General features: G+C 40.6%; 1 long non-coding RNA gene across 1 annotated transcript in view, besides 2 other annotated features; it reads right to left on the reverse strand.

The window, feature by feature from the left end:
- The window catches only part of LOC105375451 (uncharacterized), a 173,872-nt gene that overhangs the window by 149,895 nt on the left and 2,897 nt on the right, over positions 1-21,080 (reverse strand). Inside the window, exons 2-3 of the long non-coding RNA XR_927863.3 lie at positions 14,716-14,821; positions 320-374 (exon numbers count right to left, since the gene is read on the reverse strand). This is a non-coding gene — a long non-coding RNA (uncharacterized LOC105375451). The remainder of the gene's footprint in view (positions 1-319; positions 375-14,715; positions 14,822-21,080) is intronic.
- Positions 11,640-12,241: an enhancer, noted in NCBI's record as "NANOG-H3K27ac hESC enhancer chr7:110162437-110163038 (GRCh37/hg19 assembly coordinates)". NCBI's record gives its function as "activates a minimal SCP1, AML or CMV promoter by ChIP-STARR-seq in primed H9 embryonic stem cells {active_cell/tissue: H9 hESC(primed)}" and the evidence as "EXISTENCE:reporter gene assay evidence [ECO:0000049][PMID:30033119]".
- Positions 12,242-12,843: an enhancer, noted in NCBI's record as "NANOG-H3K27ac-H3K4me1 hESC enhancer chr7:110163039-110163640 (GRCh37/hg19 assembly coordinates)". NCBI's record gives its function as "activates a minimal SCP1, AML or CMV promoter by ChIP-STARR-seq in primed H9 embryonic stem cells {active_cell/tissue: H9 hESC(primed)}" and the evidence as "EXISTENCE:reporter gene assay evidence [ECO:0000049][PMID:30033119]".

The following is a 21,080-nucleotide window of genomic DNA, read 5'->3' on the forward strand; positions in this document are numbered from 1 at the left end:
TTTATTTATTTTTTAAAGTTAAATATAAAACATGTGGTAGATATCAACATATATAACCCATATAACTCATATAAACAAAAACTTGACACTTCATTGGAGTGTAAAGGGATTCTGAGAGCAAGAATTTGAAGAAACACTGACATTTATTACTCCTATGCCAATACCATTCTGTATTGATTAATCTAGTATCACAGTAAATCTTGAAATCAGATCATGTCAGCCTTCCAAATATGACATTCTTTTAGAACATGATTATATTGTTTTTATTGTTTCTTTTTAAAGCAGCTTAAAAATATTAGATAACACAAATTTAACTTACAGTTTTGTAGGGCATAATCAAGTTGTCCACATGGTTGTGTTCCTTTATGGAAACTCTAGGGAAAAAAAACAAAAAACAGAACTATTTCCCATTGGCAAGTTGTTGGCAGAATATAATTCCTTGTAAAGACTGAGGATCCCATTTCCTTGCTGGCTTTCAGTTAAGGGCTGTTCCCAGCTCCTAGAAGCCACATTTATTCTTTGGTTTGTGGTCTCATCCTGCACCTTCAAAACCAGCAAAAGTTGGTTCCCATGTTTCAAATCCCTCCTCCTTTTCATGTCTCATCTATCTGATGCAACATTGAAAGGTCTCCTGCCTTTAAGAACCCATATACACAGAGCCATCTGGATAATCCAGGACAATCTCACCGTCTCAAGGTTCATATCATTAGCCACAATTGCGAAGTCACTTTTGCCCATGTAAGATAATACAGTCACAGGTTCCAGGAATTAGAGGATGGACATCTTTTTTTGGGAAGGTGGTGATGGAAGGTATAATTCTGACTACTACAATTAATTATATTATTCTAGATTCTTTGCATTTCCACATAAACTTTAGAAGCAGCTTGTCAATTTCCACCAATAAAAATCTGCTTGGATTTTTATTGTGATTTTGTTGAATTTCTAAATCAATCTGGAGAGATTTTAGTAGAGGACTCCATTTTTTTACATCTTCTTTATTTTTTCTTGGCCATGTTTTATAGCTTTCAGTGTAAAAAATACAGTTTTTGCACGTTTTGTTAAATTTTCTCTAAGCATCCCATATTTTCGGATACCATTATAAATGTTATTTTAAAAATTATTCATTGCTAAAATGTCTATTAAAACACTGTTGATTTTTGTGTATTCATTTTATAACCATTGATCTTACTAAACACTTATTAGTTCCAGTAGCTTTTACGTAAATTCATTAAGTTTTATTTTAGTCAATTGTTTATCTTCTATTAAAATCAATTTTATTTATTATCAATCTTTATGTCCCTTATTTCTTTTTCTATTATTTCCATTTTGTCAGTTTTTAGATCACATATTTTGAAACTCTGTTATTAGACAGTGTGCTAGGTAGGCCATTCTTGTATTGCTATAAAGAAACACCAGAGATTGGGTAATTTATAAAGAAAAGAGGCTTAATTGTCTCATGGTTCTGCAGGCTTTACAGGAAGCATGGTGTGGGCCTCTGCTCAGCTCCTAGGGAGGTCTCAGGAAGCTTATGATCATGGCAGAAGGCAAAGGGGGAACAGGCATGTCAAATGGCAAAGGCAGGAGCAAGAGAGAGAGTGACAGAGCATGGTAGGGGAAGTGCTACACACTTTTAAAAAACAGATCTCATCTCAGGAGTACTCACGATAACAAAGACAGCACCAAGTCATGAGGGATCCGCCCCCATGATCCAAACACCTCCCGACAAGCTCCACTTCCAGCACTGGGAATTAGAATTCAACATAAGATTTGGGTGGGGACAAATATCCAAACTATAACAAAAAGTTACACGTTTATATTTAATTGACCCTTTTTAAATTATGAAATGTCACTTTTTATCTCTGGTAAAATTCCTTGTTCTTAAGTCCATTTTGTTATTACAGGAGATACCTCAGTTTTTTTTTTTTTTTGGCTATGGTTGGCATAATGTATCTTTCACCATTATTTTCCTTTTTATCTATTTTTCTCTTTACATTTAAAATGGGTTCCTTTAGATAGAATATAGTTGTCTTACTTTTTTATCCAATCTGACAATCCTTTGTCTATTTTTAATTAGAATGCTGAGACCACTTACTTTTATTATGATTATAAATGCAGATATTTTACATGTACTATTTCACCATTTGTTTTTCTATTTGTCCCATCTGTTCTTTGTTACTTTTTCTCTCTTTTCCTTCTTTTGGATTGTTTGTTTATTATTCTACCTATCTCCATTAGTGGCTTATTTTCTATACATATTTTTATTTGTTTGTTTTAGGGGTTTGTTTTTACTATATAGTTTAAAATAGGCACCTTTATATTTTTACAGTCTATCTTCAAAAATAACGGCTATAGTTTATGCCATTATTGCAGTATACTTCTATTTCCTCCCTCTCATTCAATTTTCATTGAAATTGCTGTGGCTTTTTCCACATGCACTGATTTACATGTGTATTATAACAATGTGACTGTGCTGCTGTTGGGTGAAGTGTTCCATAAATTTTACTTCTACATGTGTTATAAACCCCACAATACAATCCTATTTTTGCTTTTAATTTTTTTATCTTTTAAGAGATTTCTACCATGAATTTAAAACAATCTTTATTGTCATCCACCCAAATTTTATCTGATACCAATTTTCTTCTGCCTGAGAAAATTCCTCTAACATTCATTGAAGTGCAGGTCTGCTAGCAAATAATTCTTTGAGCTTCCAATTGTTTGAAAAAGATCTTTATTTTGCCTTCATTTTACAGTAATATTGCCTTCATTTTACAGGTATATTTTCTGGCTACTTTTAAGATTTTGCCACTATCACATTTTTTAAAAAATTTTGCTTATTTTGTGCCTTTGTGTAGCCATATGCATTTTTACTAGGCTTGCGATTCTTTGAGCTTCTTGGATCCATGAGTTCAAGTTATCATTATCTTGAAAAGAATTTTGGCTAGTTTTTAAGGGGAATGTTTCCAGCTTTTGCCTATTCAGTATGATGGTAGCTGTGGGTTTGTCATAGATGCCTCTTATTATTTTGAAGTATGTTGCTTCGATGCCTAGTTTCTTGGGGGTTTTAAACATGAAGGAATGCTGAATTTTATTGAAGGTATTTTCCATATCTATCGAGATGATCATAGTTGTTATTGTTTTTAGTTCTGCTTATGGGATAAATCACATTTATTCATTTGTGTATACTGAACCAACCTTGCATCCCAGGAATAAAGCCTGCTTGATCCTGGTGGATTTGCTTTTTGTGTGCTGATGAATTTGATTTGGTAATATTTTATTGAGCATTTTGCATCTATGTTCATCAGGAATATTGACCTGAAGTTCTCTTTTTTCCTATGTGTCTCATTTGGTATCAGAATGAGGCTGGCCTCATAGAATAAGTTAAGGAGGAGTCCCTCCTTCTCAAGTTTTTGGGGATAATTTCAATAGGATTGGTATCAGCTCTTTGTTTGTATGTCTGGTAGAATTTGGCTGTGAATCCATTTGGTCCAGGGCTTTTTCTGGTTGGTAGGTTTTTTATTCCTGATTCAATTTCAGAACTCATTATTTGTCTGTTCAGGACTTCCATTTCTTCCCGGTTCAATCTTGGGAGGTTGTATATTTCCAGGAATTTATCCATTTCTTGTGGGTTTTCTAGTTTGTGGGCATAGAGGTGTCTGTAATAGTTTCCGAGGGTTTTTATATTTCTATGAGGTCAGTGGTAATGTCACCTTTGTGATTTCTGAGACAAGGATGTCCACTCTCACCACTCCTTTTCAAGATAGCACTGAAAAGTCTAGCCAGAGCAATCAGGCAAGAGAAAGAAGTAAAAGGCATCGAAATAGTAATAGAGGAAGTCTAACTATCTCTCTTCACAAACGATATAATTCTATACCTAGAAAATGCCATAGTCTCTGCCTGAAGGGCTCCTAGAACTGATAAACAACTTCAGTAGTTCAAGGATGCAAAATCAATGTCTAAAAACCAGTAGCATTTCTATACACCTACAGCATCCAAGCTGAGAACCAAATCAGGAATGCAATCCCATTCACATTAGCCACCAAAAGAATGAAATATCTAGCAATACAGCTAACCAGGGATGTGAAAGATCTCTACAAGGAGAACTACAAAACACTGCTGAAGGAAATCAGAGATAACACAAACAAGTGGAAAAACATTCCATGTTCATGGTTAGGAAGAATCAATATTGTTAAAACAGTCATACAGAACAAAGCAATTACAGATTCAATCCTATTCCTATCAAACTAACAACATCATTTTTCACAGAATTAGAAAAAAAAATTCTAAAATTTATGTGGAACCAAAAAAGAGCAAGCAATTCTAAGCAAAAAGAATAAAGCTGGAGCCATCACAGGAGAGTTCCCTCATTCCCCTCGCAGAATGTGTGATAGAGGTGTGGCTTGCTCTGCTGCTCAAATCCCTAGTGGAAGCATGCAGATGGGCAGATGCAAAAGCTGTGGGGAGTGCTTTTGGGCTCTAGCCCCATGGCTGCATCTGGGGTGGGTGTCTACCACTCCCAAAGCCCCAGCGGGTGTGTGTTACAGTGCGTTCTTTCAGCTTTGCTGTCTGCAGACAGCTTGTGTTAATCAGCTCAATAGACCCTCTGCCTTATCACAAGGGCAGGGGGCCAGTGTGACAGCCTGAGTTCTTGCCCAGTGTACTGGAAGAATTAGATCACATGTGGGCTGGAAGGATGAGTGCAAGGTTTTATTGAGTGATGGAGGTGGCTCTCAGTGAGATGGATGGGGAGCCAGAAGTGGGGGATGGAGTGGAAAGGTGGTCTTCCCCTGGAGTCGGGCCACTCAGCGGCCAGACTCTTCTCTGACTTCCCGCAGCTGAAATCCCCTTGGTATCCAGACGTCCTTCCTTTCTCTCTTTCTCTGTCACAGCGTTTCACCATTGCAGGTCTGACAGTCTGCTCCTCTCCATGTTCAGCTGCTTGTGTGTGTGCCCACTAAGGTCTCAGGTTTATATGGGCACAGGATGGGAGGCATGGTGGGCCACAGTAGTCTTGGAAAACGCAACATTTGGGCACGAAAACAGAAATGCCTGTTCTCACTTAGGTCCACAGGCACGGGCCTGAGGGTGGAGCCCTTTACAGGGACGCTGCCCTTCTCTATCCAGCACTTCCCTGGCCCCACTCCCATATCACCAACTTCAAACTATGTTACAAGGATACAGTAACCAAACAGCAAGATACTTGTATGAAAACAGAGATATAGACCAGTGGAAGAGGTCAGAGAACCCAGAGATAAAGCCATACACCTACAACCATCTTATCTTCAACAAAGTTATCTAAAATAAGCAATAGAGAAAGGACTCCCTAATTCAATAAATGGTGCAGGGATAACTGGCTAGCCATATCCAGAAGATTGAAACTGAACCCCTTCCATTCAGCATATGAAAAATCAACTCAAGATGAGTTAAAGATCTAAATATAAGGCCCAAAACTATGAAATATCTAGAAGAAAACCTAGGAAATACCATTCTGGACATATTCCTTGGCAAAAAGATTTTATGATGAAGTATCCAAAAGCAATTGCAACAAAAACAAAAATAAACAAGTGGGACCTAATTAAGCTAAAGAGCTTCTGCATAGCAAAAGAAACTATCAACAGAGTAAAGAGACCACCTACAGAATGGGGAAAAAAATGCAAACTAAAGGTCTAATATCCAGAATCTACAAGAAACTTAAATCAACAAGCAAAAAAATAACTCCATTAAAAAATGGGCAAAGGACATTAACAGACACTTCTCAAAAGAAGACATACATGTGCCCAACATGTGTATGAAAAAATGCTCCACATCACCAATCATCAGAAAAATGAAAATTAAAACCACAGTGAGATACCATCTCACACCAGCCAGAATGCTATTTTTTAAAAGTCAAAAAATAACAAATGTTGGCGAGGTTGCAGAGAAAAGAAAACGCTCACACACTGCTGATGGGAATGTAAATTAGTTCAGCCACTGTGGAAAGCACTTTGGAGGTTTCTCAAAGAACTTAAAACAGAACTACCGTTTGACTCAGCAACCCCTTTACTGGGTATATACCCAAAGGAATATAAATTATTCTACCAAAAAGACACATGCACTCATATGTTCATCTTAGTAGTATTCACAATAGCAAAGACATGGAATCAACCTAGATGCCCATCAACAGTGAACTGAATAAAGAAAATGTGGTATGTGCACCATGGAATGCTACACAGCCATAAAAAAGAACAAAATAATGTTCTTTGCAGCAACATGGATGTAGCTGGAGGCGATTATCCTAAGCAAATTAACATAGAAATGAAAAACCAAATACCACATATTCTCATTTATAAGTGGAAACTAAACATTGAGTACTTACAAACTAAAAAGGAGAACAATAGACACCAGGGCTTGCTGGAGGGTGGAAGGTGGGAGGAAAGTAAGGGTTGAAAAACTACCTATCAGGTAACTATGCTCATTACCTGGGTGACAAAATGATTTGTACACCAAACCCCAGAGACATGTAATTTACCCATGTAACAAATCTGCACATGTATCCCCTGAACCTAAAATAAAAGTTAAAGAAAACAAATTTTGGCCAACATTTTCTTCAAATATTACTTCTTCCCTCTGCCCAATCTTTTCCCCTCATTACCCTTTCTCCTTGAGCCTCAAATTAAATGTATGTCAGACACATTGATATTTTCCCACAGGTTGCTGATGCCTTTTAAAATTTTGTTCAATTCCCCATCCCCCATACTTCATTTTCAACTGTATCTACTGCTATGTTGTCAAATTCACTGGCCATTTTTTTCTGCCCTGTCTAAAGTGCTACTAATACTCTGTAGTGTATCTTCATTTCAACTGCTGTATTTTCAATGCATTATGTTCTATTGGGGGTCTTCTTCAAATTCTCATTTACTTCTTAATAATGTTTATTTTTTTCCTTTTATATCCTTGAAGAATTTATAAGATAAATAATAGCTGTTTTATGGTCCTTTTATGTCAATTTCATCATCTCTGTCACTTCTGGATCTGTTTCTATTGATTTTTCTCTTGGTAATGGGTAATACACTCCTACCTCCTTGCATGCCAGGAAATTTTTTCACCAGATGCCAAAAATAGTGATTTTTATTTTTTTTTTCAGATGGAGTCTTGGTCTGTCACCCAGGCTGGAGTGCAGTGGTGCAATCTTGGCTCACTGTAACCTCTGCCTCTGCCTCCTGAGTAGCTGGGACTACAGGCATGTGCCACCATGCCTGGCTAATTTTTGTGTTTTTTTTCAGCAGAGACAGGGTTTCACCATGTTGGCCAGGCTGGTCTCAAACTCCTGACCTCAAGTGATCTGCCTGCCTGAGCCTTCCAAAGTGCTAGGACTACAGGCATGAGTCACTGCACCTGGCAGAAATTCTGAATTTAAAGTTATTGAGTTTTATTGTATCGTTTTAAGGACTGTCCAACTTTGTTCTGGCCTACAGTAAAGCGCCTTTCAGTTTTAGATTGATCTTTTTGTGGCTTTAAGTCTTGTTTGTTTTTAATTGCTTATTTTGGGGGTTTTGTTGTTGTTATTGTTTCTCTGGCATTCACATGTCTTCCCTTTGGGATTATGTGTCTCCTGAGATCTCTATTCAATGGCTCATGTTTTATGAAGTTTAGCGACCCTGGCTGGAAGAAATGCAGGGTATTGCTAGTCTTATATACTCCTGGATTTATTTGGCCTACTGTTGCAGGATCTTTAGGGTGTCACTTTTCTAGCCAGAAGGCTCTGTGGCCAGTGGTGACCTTCCTCAAGTTTTGCTCAGGCCCACTAGGCTCATTCCACCCACTCAGCCTGGTAGGCTGCACTTAGCTCATGCTATCAGCCTGGATCCCATGCCTGTCAAGGGAGACTGTGTGGAGCAGCAATGGGTGTGTGAGCACATTCTCACTTATAAGTGGAATATAAGTGGGATCCAGCCACTATGCAGTCAGACATGCCAGCTGCTGCAATGGGGCGGGCAGCTCCAGGTGTCAGCATGGGCGCTAGCTCTCCACAAGGCTGCAGCTGGACCAGGGGCACCACAAGCAGCTTCCACAGCTGGCACCAGGGAACACAGTGGCACTCAGAAGCCTGGAGATGCCAGGAACCACAGGGCCACACAGAGGGAGTCACAGCCCTGGCTCAGGGAGTTCCCAGGTCTTGGTTCCTTGAAGGGCCACAGCTCCTCTTTCCTTCTCTTCAACCACAACGTGGCAAGCAAGGGGCATGTCTCAGCCTTATTTGTGTTACAGCTCATTTAGCTTTATTCAGTGGGTCCTGAGTTCTTGTCCTGTGCCCAGGAAGAATGAGGTATGCAGACAAGTAGAGGGTGAGCAAGACAGAGGAACTTTATTGAGTGACAATAACTCAGAGGAAGCCCTGGAGTGGGTAGCTCCTCTCAGCAGGCAGGTTATCCTGTCGTCTCTGCAGCTCTCCGGAGAGAGGAGGCCCTGGAGTGGGTATCTCCTCTCTGCAGCTGGTCATCTGATGTCTGCTGCTCTCAGCAGAGAGGAGGCCATGGAGTGGGTAGTCTCTCTTGGCAGCCAGTCTTCCCAATGTCTGCTCGGCTCTGGCTGAACCCAGGGCTTTTGTAGGCCTCAGCGGAGAGGAGTATGCGCAGATTGGTCCATGGGTGGCCACAGGCAGGCCTGGAAATGGCATCACAAATTCCCACTCCAGTCCATGGGACTGACAGCCCAGCCCCCTGCCTTCAGGACCTCCCTGGACTGAAGGTGGAACCTTACTAGGGACCTGCCTTCTTTCACCCAGGAACCTGTCTGCCTTCTGCTGCCATTTATGGCACCCAGGCTGGGGGTGCTAAGGGATGCTTGTAGGCCAGCACCAAGCTGCCCTCAGCCCTCCATCAGCTTCCTATGTATGCTCACCAGCACTCAAAATCCGGAGGGGGCCAAAGCAGCAGGGGCTGGTGTGTCAGCACTGCCCCAAGTGTGTGCACACCTGGCCAGGCCATGACAGCACCCAGGCTCACTCAGCTCTGACTTTGCTCCAAGATTGGAGTGGGGGCTGACAGAAGGGAGAAGCCAGGCAACAGGAGCAGGCATTTCCAAACCTGTGAGGGCAGGGGGGCCTTCTCATGCCCCAAGAGTGCAGGGATGCCTGGGTCCATAGCCTGGTTTGTGTGGCTGCAGCTGGAGTTGGGGTTGGAGCTCCTGCCTGCTCCATGGAACACGAGGCCTGGGTCTGCAACCACGGTTTAGGCGAATGGATGCACCTGCATCTGGGAGGGTGGGGCTGCTGCCTTCTCCCAGACCTGAGAGCACAGGGGTGCTTGGGTCCACAGCCATGACTTGGGTGGCTGCAGTGGCAGCTGGGGAGCTCCTGCCCCAGCAGGGAAGGGGCAGGGCTCCTGCTTGTCCCCAGCTCCCGCCAGCTCCATGGAGCATGCGGCCCCGGCTGCGCTTCCCTGCTGCAGTAAGTGTGATGGTGGCAACTGCTCCAGATGGCCTGTCGTCTCCATCATTACTAACTTCCAAGTGTTGGTTTTTTTGTCTTTCAGTCTCATGAAATTTCACCTCATGTTTACACGAATCAGTATTCAGTCAAAAACTAAGGGGACTCCTCTGGATCTTGTGCTTCCTCTGAAAGCCCTAAACACGTTCTCCTTTCTAGATTTGGCCTTGCAAAGTATAGCTGCCTTTGCCTCCCTGTACCTAACTCTACCTCCTCAATTGGGTAAGGCCACCAGGCTTTCCTTGGTTCCCCTCCCAACACTGTGGCCTGGGAGTCTTGTCAAGCGGTAAGCTAGGGAAATTGTAAGACTCACCCCATTTGCTTTCCTTCTCTCAGACTCTAAAGTGGCTACTGTCTAAATTAGGAAAACAGGTTTTTTAAATGTTTTGTCCATTTTTCTAATTGTTTATGACATAAGAACAATATCTGTAAACATTAATCCTTCATGGAAAGAAGCAAACAAGCTCAGAAATACCATTTTTAGTCTTCAACGCTATATAAGGCAGATCAGAAGGAGATTAGAATTATATCTGAGTACCAATTCACCATATCTATCCACATTATCCCCATGCTGCAAAGAAGAATTCTAGGGCACAATAACTCACAGAGATAGTAAGTGGCAGAATTAGGATTAGAAACACAATCTGATTTCAGAGCCTCTGTCTTCAGTCATTCTTCTCTATTTCTTTCTTAATTCTCAACTATTTTCATCCATCCATGCCTGACTGATTCTTTACCATTTTGGATCTACTGCTTGTATATCCAAACCCAGTCTGACAGAGCAGAGGTAAGGCCCTGGAACACTAGACAAATCATAAAACGAATAACCACTCTTATAGATAAATAAGAGAAAAAAATAAATCCATGGTCCTTTATCATCAGGTCAACCTCACACTCAAGAAAATTGCATTCCTCATTGTTGCTCAAGATATAGCCCCTCTAAATGAAGCTCTCAGCATCCCATTCTCCTTTCATTTAACACCTTTTCCTTTTATTTGCAATTCTCCTTGACTTAAAATAACCAAATAGTGCTGTCCACATTATTACTTTTAGAATTAATGAATAATTAGGAATAAAACTTCATGCAGTTTAATGTCTGGGCTGAGGAACCCTACCCTAGAAAAATTTTTATATAGCTGGTAAATAAAAGTGGCATTTAGTTATTTGTCACTACTGTTTACTTTCCCTCTCCCTCCAACAACCAATATTACTCAATCTTTGGAATCACGGCTTTATAAATCATGTAAGGCAACACAGATTCTATTTATAAACAACTCTCAAAGGCCATATTGTGTCCCCCGTTCACATGCCAAACTCCCACGGAGATCTAGCCATGTGCGGATCAAGGTCACACCGTGGATAATATTCTCGCTTTCATCTCCATGTGAGAAACTAGAGTGGAGGCATAAGTCTTTTACATCAGTAAAGTTCAAGCTCCAGTGTAACTGAATAGGGTCCAAGGCCAAACACAAAGGCTGATTTTTAACAGAATTGTTGCCATGGCTTGGTCACCTCCCAAATGTGCATGCATATCAAAGCAACAAGCACAAACTGATTGAGACTGCTCAGATCAGAACTAACCAAAGGATTCACTCACTCGGAATCCAGCAGAATGACCGTCTTGGAGCTGTCAAACAATAGGTTATTGATCATCCAGAATCAATAGCTATACTCCTACCTCCCTCTCACCCACTCACCTCCAAGCTGAGCAGATGCAGGCAAAATACTATAGTTTAAGCAAAATAGAAGCCCATGAAATTGCGAGTCTTAAACCTGCTTCCTGCAAAGGTAATTCTCTACAGTGATTCTTATCTTTCAGTGTCTTGGGTAATTACAGGATTTAGAAGCTTTATCCTAATTTGTCCGTTGTTTGTATCAAGCAGTATATTATTTTCTTCTCAAGCTACAGGAATCATAATTTCCATGCCACTGTTGTTTCGAAGATAAAATATATTCTTTATTACCTCAAGCAGCACTTGATGCACTATGTTTAACAAGTATCCTAACAAGTCAAGCAGAGGAGAACCCATGATAATGCGGATGTTTCTGTGCATTACACACCCAGGTGAAAAGGTGAAGTCAAGTGTACAGTGTCTCTGAATTTATGACAAGAATTCACCACCTCCACTTGAGAAAATATCACACAATCTCATTCTCCTCTTTCAGAGCCAATATTAGAGGTGATGGCCCATTTTCGGTCACAACAACAACAAAATGGTTGCACTGGTTTTAAATAAGTTTGCTAAAGATTGCAAGTCAATGTTGTATTGTCCTCATTTTTTTTCTCTTTATTTCAATAGTTTTTTTTGTTTTTTTTTTTTTTTTTAGCCTCTGCTGTTTAATGCAGGCTGTATGCCAAAACCATCTTAGAAAGTCTGTTATGCCAGATGTCACCCTTTTGCCCTTTCGCTCTATCTGCAGGTTTTCTTTTAACAACAGCTGAAGCCCAAGTTAGCAAGCATGCATTTTTTTACAGTAAAAGAGGTATTATGAATAACACCTTTTGTATTTTGGATCACACTCTCAAAGAGCACAGCACTTTGTTCATGCACAACATCTTTCAAAAAGGATTATTCATGGTTCTTTAGATTTAAAGGGAGAACTTTAAGGTTTTGGCAGTTTAAGATCAGTTTTTTTACCCACAGTAGAAGCTGATAGGTTTGTTTGCCTTGAAACTGATCATTTCTGGACAAAAGAAAAAAAAAAAAAAAAGACTGAACTCTACGTAAGCGCTTTATGTCTGCTCTCTGTTGTCAAAACAGACGTGTAAACAGTGACATTGCCCTCCAGGAGAGCTAGCTCCCTTGTAAACAGACCTACTCAACAAAGTGTGTCATTCAAACAAAGCATTGGGTGGGGTTTTCTCCACAACAGAGAGAAGAGGCCCTCAGGTCAATGATTAATTGAGGCAAGGGGGAGTTTCTGGATAAGTTGTTGGGCCAAGTTCAGCCTCCCATATGTTTGCATACTTTGTCAACTTTCACCTTTGAAAGTGTTTCTGTTTGGAAGTTGGTCAGCCACTGTAACGGCTAAATGTAATCCAGTCAGAAAGTAAAACATTAGATATTCTATATTTCGGAGAATTTAAAAGATTCCCCCCAAAGGAGAGGAAGGGAAATTCAGGGCAAAAAGAATTCCTTCTCTCAGGAAGAATCTGTTCTAAGCATCCAATTCTGAGTTTCATGAAAATTTACTTCTACCCATCTCCACATTTATTTTATACAGCGGAAAATCTATTTTATACAGCAGAAGCCTAAGCTATAAAATCACAACATTCAGTATATAAGGTCACAGATATTGCTCTTTTAAAACTGAAAGACACCTTAGAGATCATCTAGGGTTAACCTGAGAAAGTAACAATACGTATAGAATGAGCTGGCTTACTGTTTTGTTGTTGTTGTTGTTGTTTGTGTTTTTTTTTTTTGAGACAGAGTCTCGCTCTTTCGCCCAGGCCGGACTGCAGTGGCGCTATCTGGGCTCACCGCAAGCTCCGCCTCCCGGGTTCACGCCATTCTCCTGCCTCAGCCTCCCGAGTAGCTGGGATTACAGGCGCCCGCCACCACGCCCGGCTAATTTTTTGTATTTTTAGTAGAGACGGGGTTTCACCGTGTTAGCCAAGATGGTCTTGATCTCCTGACCTCGCGATCTGCCCGCCTCGGCCTCCCAAAGTACTGGGATTACAGGCGTGAGCCACCGCGCCCGGCCTGGCTTACATTTTTTAAAACTACCCAACAGCCATTAGCTAATGCCCCTAACTGGTACAACAAAGCCATACGTGAGCAAGATCTCAATAAAAAAGAAGAAACACTGAAAAGGAACTAGCCTTTTCATTTCACACGTGAGGAACATGAAACCTAGAGATAGGAAATAATCTCCTCAAGGTCGAATAAGTGGTCTCTTCCCTTCTTCCACACTTTTCCCACGATACCACAACTACAGATCATTTTGTGAGGTGGTTCTGGACAATTAGCAGTGCCACTTTGAATCACCCTTCAGAGGAAAGCCATGAGGTAAGGGACATAAATAGGCTGATGTTTATCTACCACCAAGATACCCTCCAGAGAACACTCCTGGGCTAGCAGTATGGCCCTGTACCCAATTCACCTGTGCTATATAGACCCAGATATAAAAGGTAAAAGAATGAATTCTGCTGATTTTTTATCTGAACAGGAACATTTTCTTTTCAGTGCAAGTCTGCATATACCCTATTAAGAATCAAATCTCAACTAGATTAACTAGAAACTTACAAAAAGAAAAAAAAAGTGAGGCCCAAAAGGAACTTAATTGACTTTAATTGAAGCACTTGCAGTTACTTGAGCATTTATAACACTTTTGCTAATCCTAAACCAATCTTCAGCTTCCAAAATCTCAGTCACCCATTAAAGCTAAATGCCACAAAATATAGTTTGTTAAGCATATCCAAACCTGTGTTCATGTCAGTATCTGTGTTTCTTAAGCCAGCTGTCTAAGAGAAAGAAGTGCTGTCTTTAATCTGATTCTATTCACGCTGTAGTATCTAATCTCTGCTGAGGCGGAGCAGCTTTACATTGGAGGTGAGAAGTTGACCCACTAAAAGGTCTCTGCTCCTCCCATACACTTTTGCACAGTCACTGGTTCCCAACCCTGGCTAAGTTTTAGAATCACTTGAGGGAGTCTTTAAAACATACAACTTCCTGGCCTACAACCCCAGAGATGCTTATTTAGTAGGTGTGGGCTGAGAAAGCTTTTTGATTATTTTTAATTAAGTTCTCCAGGTGATTCTTTTGCAGCTAGTGTCTTTGAAAACCAGAACTGTAGCTCTCTCATGAGCAGGAAAGGTGTTTATCCCCACTGAGCTCTTGTTTGTATCCATTCATTTCATCCTTACCACTTTCTAGTAATTGTGACCATCAGAGAAAGCACCATGCATCAGAGGAAAAGCAGGGAAAACAAAAGTTGAAAAAGCAACAAACCAACAAAATCATATATCGTAGGACCTGGAAGGCATTCCAGAGACAATATTCCCCAAAGAATGAAAACTCTTGCACCTTCAAACTTTGATTGACTTGCCGTAGGATGTATGTGACTTCTCTGATGACACTGGATTGTTATCTCCTGGCCCTATTAGTACAGTGGTGTTACTGCCTGACTTTCCTATAGACAGGGCCCCCAAAATGTACACCTATAGAAGGCCATGTTCACATAGTTGTGCCTCAGGGTTTTCCATTTACATAGACCATAATGTGAATATCAGAACTTGGAGTTGTACTCACCTCGTGGCTCTGACCATACGCATTCGAGTTCTTGATTTCTAATCTCGTCCAAGCCTCTTGTGTTTCATGTCTGGAAACTGAAGTCCATAGACATGATGGGACTTACCTAAGATTATAGAGCAATATAGTGTCAGAGTTAGATAAATACTACTTCTTAATTCATAAGAACAGGTACCTGGGTCAATGCAAACACCACACTCAGCAGTCCCAGCTCCAGAGGAAATAAGGACAGTGTTGAGATTAAAGAGTCCACCCAGGGAAGATAAATATCATGCCACAAAAGTCCTGCCACTGAAGTCTCCACTTCCCAGAGTCCTACAGTCAATCTGAGGGGATCAAGAGCAATGAATTCAGCTCCACTGCAGTAAATGTTCCCATTCCAAGAGATTTGGGTACTTGACAGGGAAGGCAAGGGAGGCAGCCATGTCACTCAGTCAGAAAGAAGAGATGATAATAACTTGTTCCATAGGTTAAAAACAGAGATTATTTTTCCTAGGACTTCCACTTGGATGTTTTGGTCTTCATCATCATAGAAGAAAAATACTCATATTATGAAGTCAGAAGTATCTTAGCAGATTCTGAGGGACAATAAAAGGATTAACTGACCAATGGAAGAGTAGCCCTCTTGATGTCTTTGGACAAGCTGGATAGGGTGACTGATTATGAGGTACACTGTGTTTCTACTGAAGTATGAGATGTTGAGGGACATTTCTCCATAGGTGTCTGGTGTTATGAGAAGAGGCACTTAGTCCCAAACTATCTTTTCGAGGATATTTGTAGAAAGAACACACTTGGAAGATGGTGATAGTATCTCCCTCCAGAGCAAGCAGAAAGTTTATTTACTGCCCTGTATAATAAAGATAATGTCTTCTGGCCAGGTGCGGTGGCTCATGCCTGTAATCTCAGCACTTTGGGAGGCCAAGGCGGGCAGATCACAAGGTCAGGAGATCGAGGCTATCCTGGCTAAAACGGTGAAACCCTGTCTCTACTAAAAATACAAAAACATTAGCCGGGCATAGGTGGTGCACGCCTGTAGTTCCAGCTACTCAGGAGGCTGAGGCAGGAGAATGGCATGAACCCGGGAGGTGGAGCTTGCAGTGAGCCAAGATCTCGCCACTGCACTCCAACCTGGGCGACAGAGCGAGACACCATCTCAAAAAAAAAAAAAAAAGATAATGTCTTCCTCTGGGGAAAAGGACAGGCAGGCTTACTGTCCCTTATAAAATATTCAAGTTCCCTAACTCAGGATTCCTCACCTGTGATGCAAGCCCCCTGTGTTTACAGCATTCCTCTGGATCTCTTTGAATTACCTACATGGGACAGGGAGAGGAGAGGAACTGATGCAAATAGGATGCTCATTCCACTTGCTATTGTTATAAGTAATAGAGTCCTCTGTCTCTGACCACAAATCACACATCTTCTGCCAGTATCCATGGAACTATAGCAAGCAAACATGTTAGCTTGCAGGTAGGGTAAAATCTCAGACACATCACAGTTCTTGAGACAGGGAAAGTCTTCAAATTCAACACACAAAACTGGATTTTTTTTCACTATTGTATGAAAATAAAAAGACAAATTTCTTTTTATTCACACAGATAGTACTAATAAATAAAATTAACATAGACAAATAGTAAGCTTTTGTTTTCTATTGATATGTCACAAAAATACCAGACTACTTTCTGAGACATACTAGGACCAGGCTAAAATGTAAAGAAAATAACCAGGACCTGCGTTGGATTCCAGAAAGCCCAATTAGTAGATCAAGGCATCTAGCTGAGGCAACAAGAAAGTACTTGGTGCAGAGTCAAAAGGGGTAGAGGAACCCAGATTATCAGAGGAATAGAGGGGCAGCTGGTTCCTGGCAAGACAACAGGTAGTAGCATTGTAATGTAGAGGATTGGTTTCAAGAAACATAACCTCTCTCATCTATAAATTGGGGAACAGGATAGAGATTGGCCAGCAAGAACCAGACTATATTAGTGGAACAAATTCAAGTTGGGACCCCAACCCATGAGAGAGACTAGAAAACTGAGCAGGCTTACCAGAGAGAAACAGATTAGGGGAAAAACTGAAGTTCAATTGTAGAACTGGGCTAAAAAGACACAAGAAAAACATGGAGAATGTTGAGCAACTCAGAAGCTCCATAGCCTTCCGGGCCATCCTTGGCCCACCAGATGTTAGCATGAGACTGAGACTTCCAGCATCTTTCTACTCCATCCTGAACTGCCTTAGCAATTGACTGAGCCTGGATCTGCTGCTGGAGACTTCTATAGATTCAGTATGAAGATAAAGACAGAGGGAAAGAGGCAGCATACTGAAAAGTAGCGGCTGAAAATGGTTGTTGTGTTTTACAAAATATCAGATCACTAAGCCACTTGACAGTCTATCCAATCAGATGAATCATGCCATTTTTGTCACAGGACCAACCACTGTGACACTAAATTGGAAAAATTTGTACAAGGTTTAGATTTGACCTATGGAACATATGGCTGTTTAGATGCTGATGGAAGTTGATTTTTGCTTTTTTGTTTTTGTTGTTATTGCCCCAATACAAATTCATTCTTTAGACTTAAAACCCACTGGCCCATAAGTCCTTTGGTAAAAGGCTGGGAGAATCGTTACAACATATATTTGTCATGGTGTTGCCAGGTCCTTCCTCTTGGAAACCTAGCCACCACTTCAGTCAATGAATTCTAGGTCTGGAAAATGGCTTAGGTTTGGAAACTGGATACAGAGTATGAATTTTTATTGGGGAATTTTCTCTCAGTCTCTTGCCCATTCATTCTTACTTCCTACCCATCAAATTCCTTGCTATTATGTATATTCATGAGAACCTATTGGCTATCCATATGTTTTTTCCCTGAGAACGTCATGTCTATTGATCATCTTTACAATTCTTTGCAGGTCAAGCCCACTTGGCTGCCCCTTCATGACATTTGGAGGTTAAGTGCCACCACCTGGCCTCTATTACTTTAGGGCCCTGTCATTCACATTGCTATCATCAACAAGTCAATCTCTATAATAGTGTCTCCTACCATCAGTCCTGCTTTCCAGAGGAAAGCCACCACTGAATCTCTTGGTGATGCTTGTTCTCTTATCATCATCACATTCCTGATGACCTTGGTGAGTGGTGTGTCCTCTGGGACTTTCCGTAGAACATAATCCTCTAGCAGGTCTTTTGGCTTCACATATTATAGCCATTCCAATATGCCCACTTCCGGGGACATTTTAAACCTCTTGCTCTGCCCTTTACTATTGCAACTGAGATATTTCCATTTCACTCAACATGAACAACGACTTTCTCTAGGTTTTTAGGAGCAACTAAGAAGTAGTTTGCACCATTTTCTGAAGTCCTTGTCAGTGTTGCATGTTGCATCCCAAGAGAGTTCTCTCAAGTCAATAAAGTCTTCTTTATTCGGTCTTATGTTTTGATCCCTGTGGTCCAGCACCCTCAAAATCCAGTCCCGTGGGTTCTCCAGCAGCTTCTTCTAGTACATACTGGCTAATTCTTGCAGTCCTTTGGAGTATAGCTCCATTCTCCTCTTATGAGACCCAGCATGTCCCTAGCTGGGCTATGCCGCAACTTAACCCCAGCTATTGATTGGGCAGCCAGGAAAAAAAAGTAGGAGCAGATGTCAAGAGGGATTCTTGCAGCCTAGAGGGGCAGAGTGTCTTTCCCTGGGAGAGTGGGTTTGGTTCCAGTTGGTTTTCTGTTTTCCTGTAGCAAGAAATACTGGCCTCTTTATAAGCTCTACCAAAGAAGCCTTTTGGACTACATAGTTTTTAAATTATTTGTCAACTGTCCTCAGCTTTTTATTAACACTTTGAAGTGATCAATAAAACTCAATAATGGGCCAGTTCCGCTGACTTTGTATACACTATTCTCCCTACACAAGTTCAAAGCATGAAAGCCTGAATCATTGCACAACATCGTTGTGTTTGGGCACATTGTTTCTCTTCACTTTCCACTGAACAAATTCCTATTTCTCATGAGTTTGGTGGCTTCTGGTGGTTGGTTCCCACATGCCTGTACTTTGGGCTATGGGGTTCTTGGGATTGTGGTGATGCCTAGTATTGTTGCCAGCATCAAACATGGCTTTTTGCTTTTGTTTTCTAGTCTCTCTGTGTTTTTTTTTGTTTGTGTGTGTGTGTGAGTGTGTGTGTGTGTGTGTGTGTGTGTGTGTGATGGAGTCTCGCTCTGTCGCCCAGGCTGGAATGCATTGGTGGGATCTCGGCTCACTGCAACCTCTGCCTCCTGGGTTTAGGCAATTCTCTGCCTCAGCCTCCCGAGTAGCTTGGATTACAGGCATGTGCCACCACACCCCACTAATTTTTGTATTTTTAGTAGAGATGGGGTTGCACCATCTTGGTTAGGCTGGTCTTGAACTCCTGACCTCGTGATCCATCCACCTCGGCCTCCCAAAGTGCTGGGATTACAGGCATGAGCCACCGTGCCTGGCCGTCTCTCTGTTTCTATATGAGGATTCAGATCCAAAAATTATGTTGCCATTGATGCTATCTTCCCAGAATCAGGTGTGAATTTTATTTTTTAATCTATATTTTTTAAAAGTAAAATGTAGAATGCAATGAGAAATTTGATATCTGCTTTAGCATTTACACTGAATCAAGCCTCAGAAGGAATGTTATCAGGAAAGAAGATATTTAAGACAGAAAATTAAATCACAAGCTATCAGTTTTTCTTAACCCAAGAAAGTAATGTTCCTGAAACTGATTCAAAGAATAATGAAATGACCTTGTGCCTTTTTCTACCTGTCACATTCCACAGCTAATAATAGGAAGTCTGAAAGTCACAAATTACATAGAAATGGGAGACTAAAGAATACATACAGTGGCAAACAAAAAAAAATTCTGGATTTGCACAAATGTTCATTTTGAAAATGGAAGAAAGTTTATGCTTGTTATTTCACACAAATGGATTCACCTAACCATAATTAAAGGTTCTAGCCAATTAAAGGTGTAATAAAACCACAGATAGCTGTAAAATGAACAGAAGAACTCTCCTGAGGGTCTGGAAACTGAGGGTTGATTACAGCTCTCTGTCTTCTTCCATTTTTGAGTATTTTCCCCTTTTTAAGCATTTTTCCCTTGTGTTTATGGCATGTACAATCAGACGTGCAGCAACTGTAATTCCCACACAAAATAGGCTTTGGGGACCTGACATGCCTTTCTTCTCTCAGGTTCTCACTTCCAATAAGCAGTCTTTCAATCTGGGTAGGTCTCAGGATGGTTCAGTGGAAGGTGAAGTTTGGCAACACTAAGCAGACCTCTTTAAATTTTGACTCCACTCTTTAAAAAAGAGGCTTTTTAACAGAGAGGTGTTGGGCAAGTGGCTTAACCTCTCTGAGCCTCAGTTTCCTCTTCTGTAAAATTAAGTTTATACAAGTCACCTTGGAGAGATAGTGAAATAATTCAAGATAAAGATTTAATCTTCTGACATTTAAGAAGTGTTTAATAAATGTTTATTATTATTGATTATTTTATAACCCATTAGTTTGGAAAAAATATTATCTACAGTATCCCAAAATTGTTACTATCTATATGCCATTATAAAATATTATATTTTTCTACAGAAAAAGTCAAATCAGCTGGCTCTTTTCTTGCCATGTAGACACAGACCTCCTGGGGAATCATCAAAGCGGGAATAGATTTAGACTGTGACTCTGAATTTTGGAAATTGTTTGTTTTAGACTGGACATGAAGAGGTTACAAAAACAAAATAAAATGGGGAAAAAAAGTCTTCTGCCCATATTATCTCTTTGAAACATTTGAAGAACAGATTCAGAATTTATATAAAGGAGGAAGAAAACAACACCACCACCAAAGGCTGCAGGTATCTTTTTTTGTTTTTCATTCCTCTGAAATATAGTCAGCCTCTGTATCTGTGGGTTTCACAACCACAGATCAAAAATGCAGCTGGGCCTAGAATGGTTGAGTCTGTACTGAACATGTACAGACATATTTTCTCTTGTCATTAGTCCCTAAGCAATATAGTATAACAGCTATTTGCATGACATTTACATTATATTTGGTATCATAAGTAATCTAGAGGTGATTTAAAGTATATGTGAGGATATACATAGGTTACACTATGCCATTTTATATAAGGGAGTTGAGCATCCATGAATTTTGGTATCCTGGGGTGTTCAGGGTGGGGTGCAATCTGGAACCAATCCCCTGTGGATACTGAGGGATGACTATACTAACAATTTTATCTAAATGAAACTGATAATCCATGTTTCCACTGAAGCATTCCAACCAAAATGCTCAAATATGTCTATTATTGTTGAAGTTTTGGTTTTCAGTTATTCTGTTTTTTTTATAGAAGTAATTGAACCTCATGATTA

Source organism: Homo sapiens, chromosome 7, assembly GCF_000001405.40.
Source record: "Homo sapiens chromosome 7, GRCh38.p14 Primary Assembly".
In the NCBI taxonomy this organism is placed as follows: domain Eukaryota; kingdom Metazoa; phylum Chordata; class Mammalia; order Primates; family Hominidae; genus Homo; species Homo sapiens.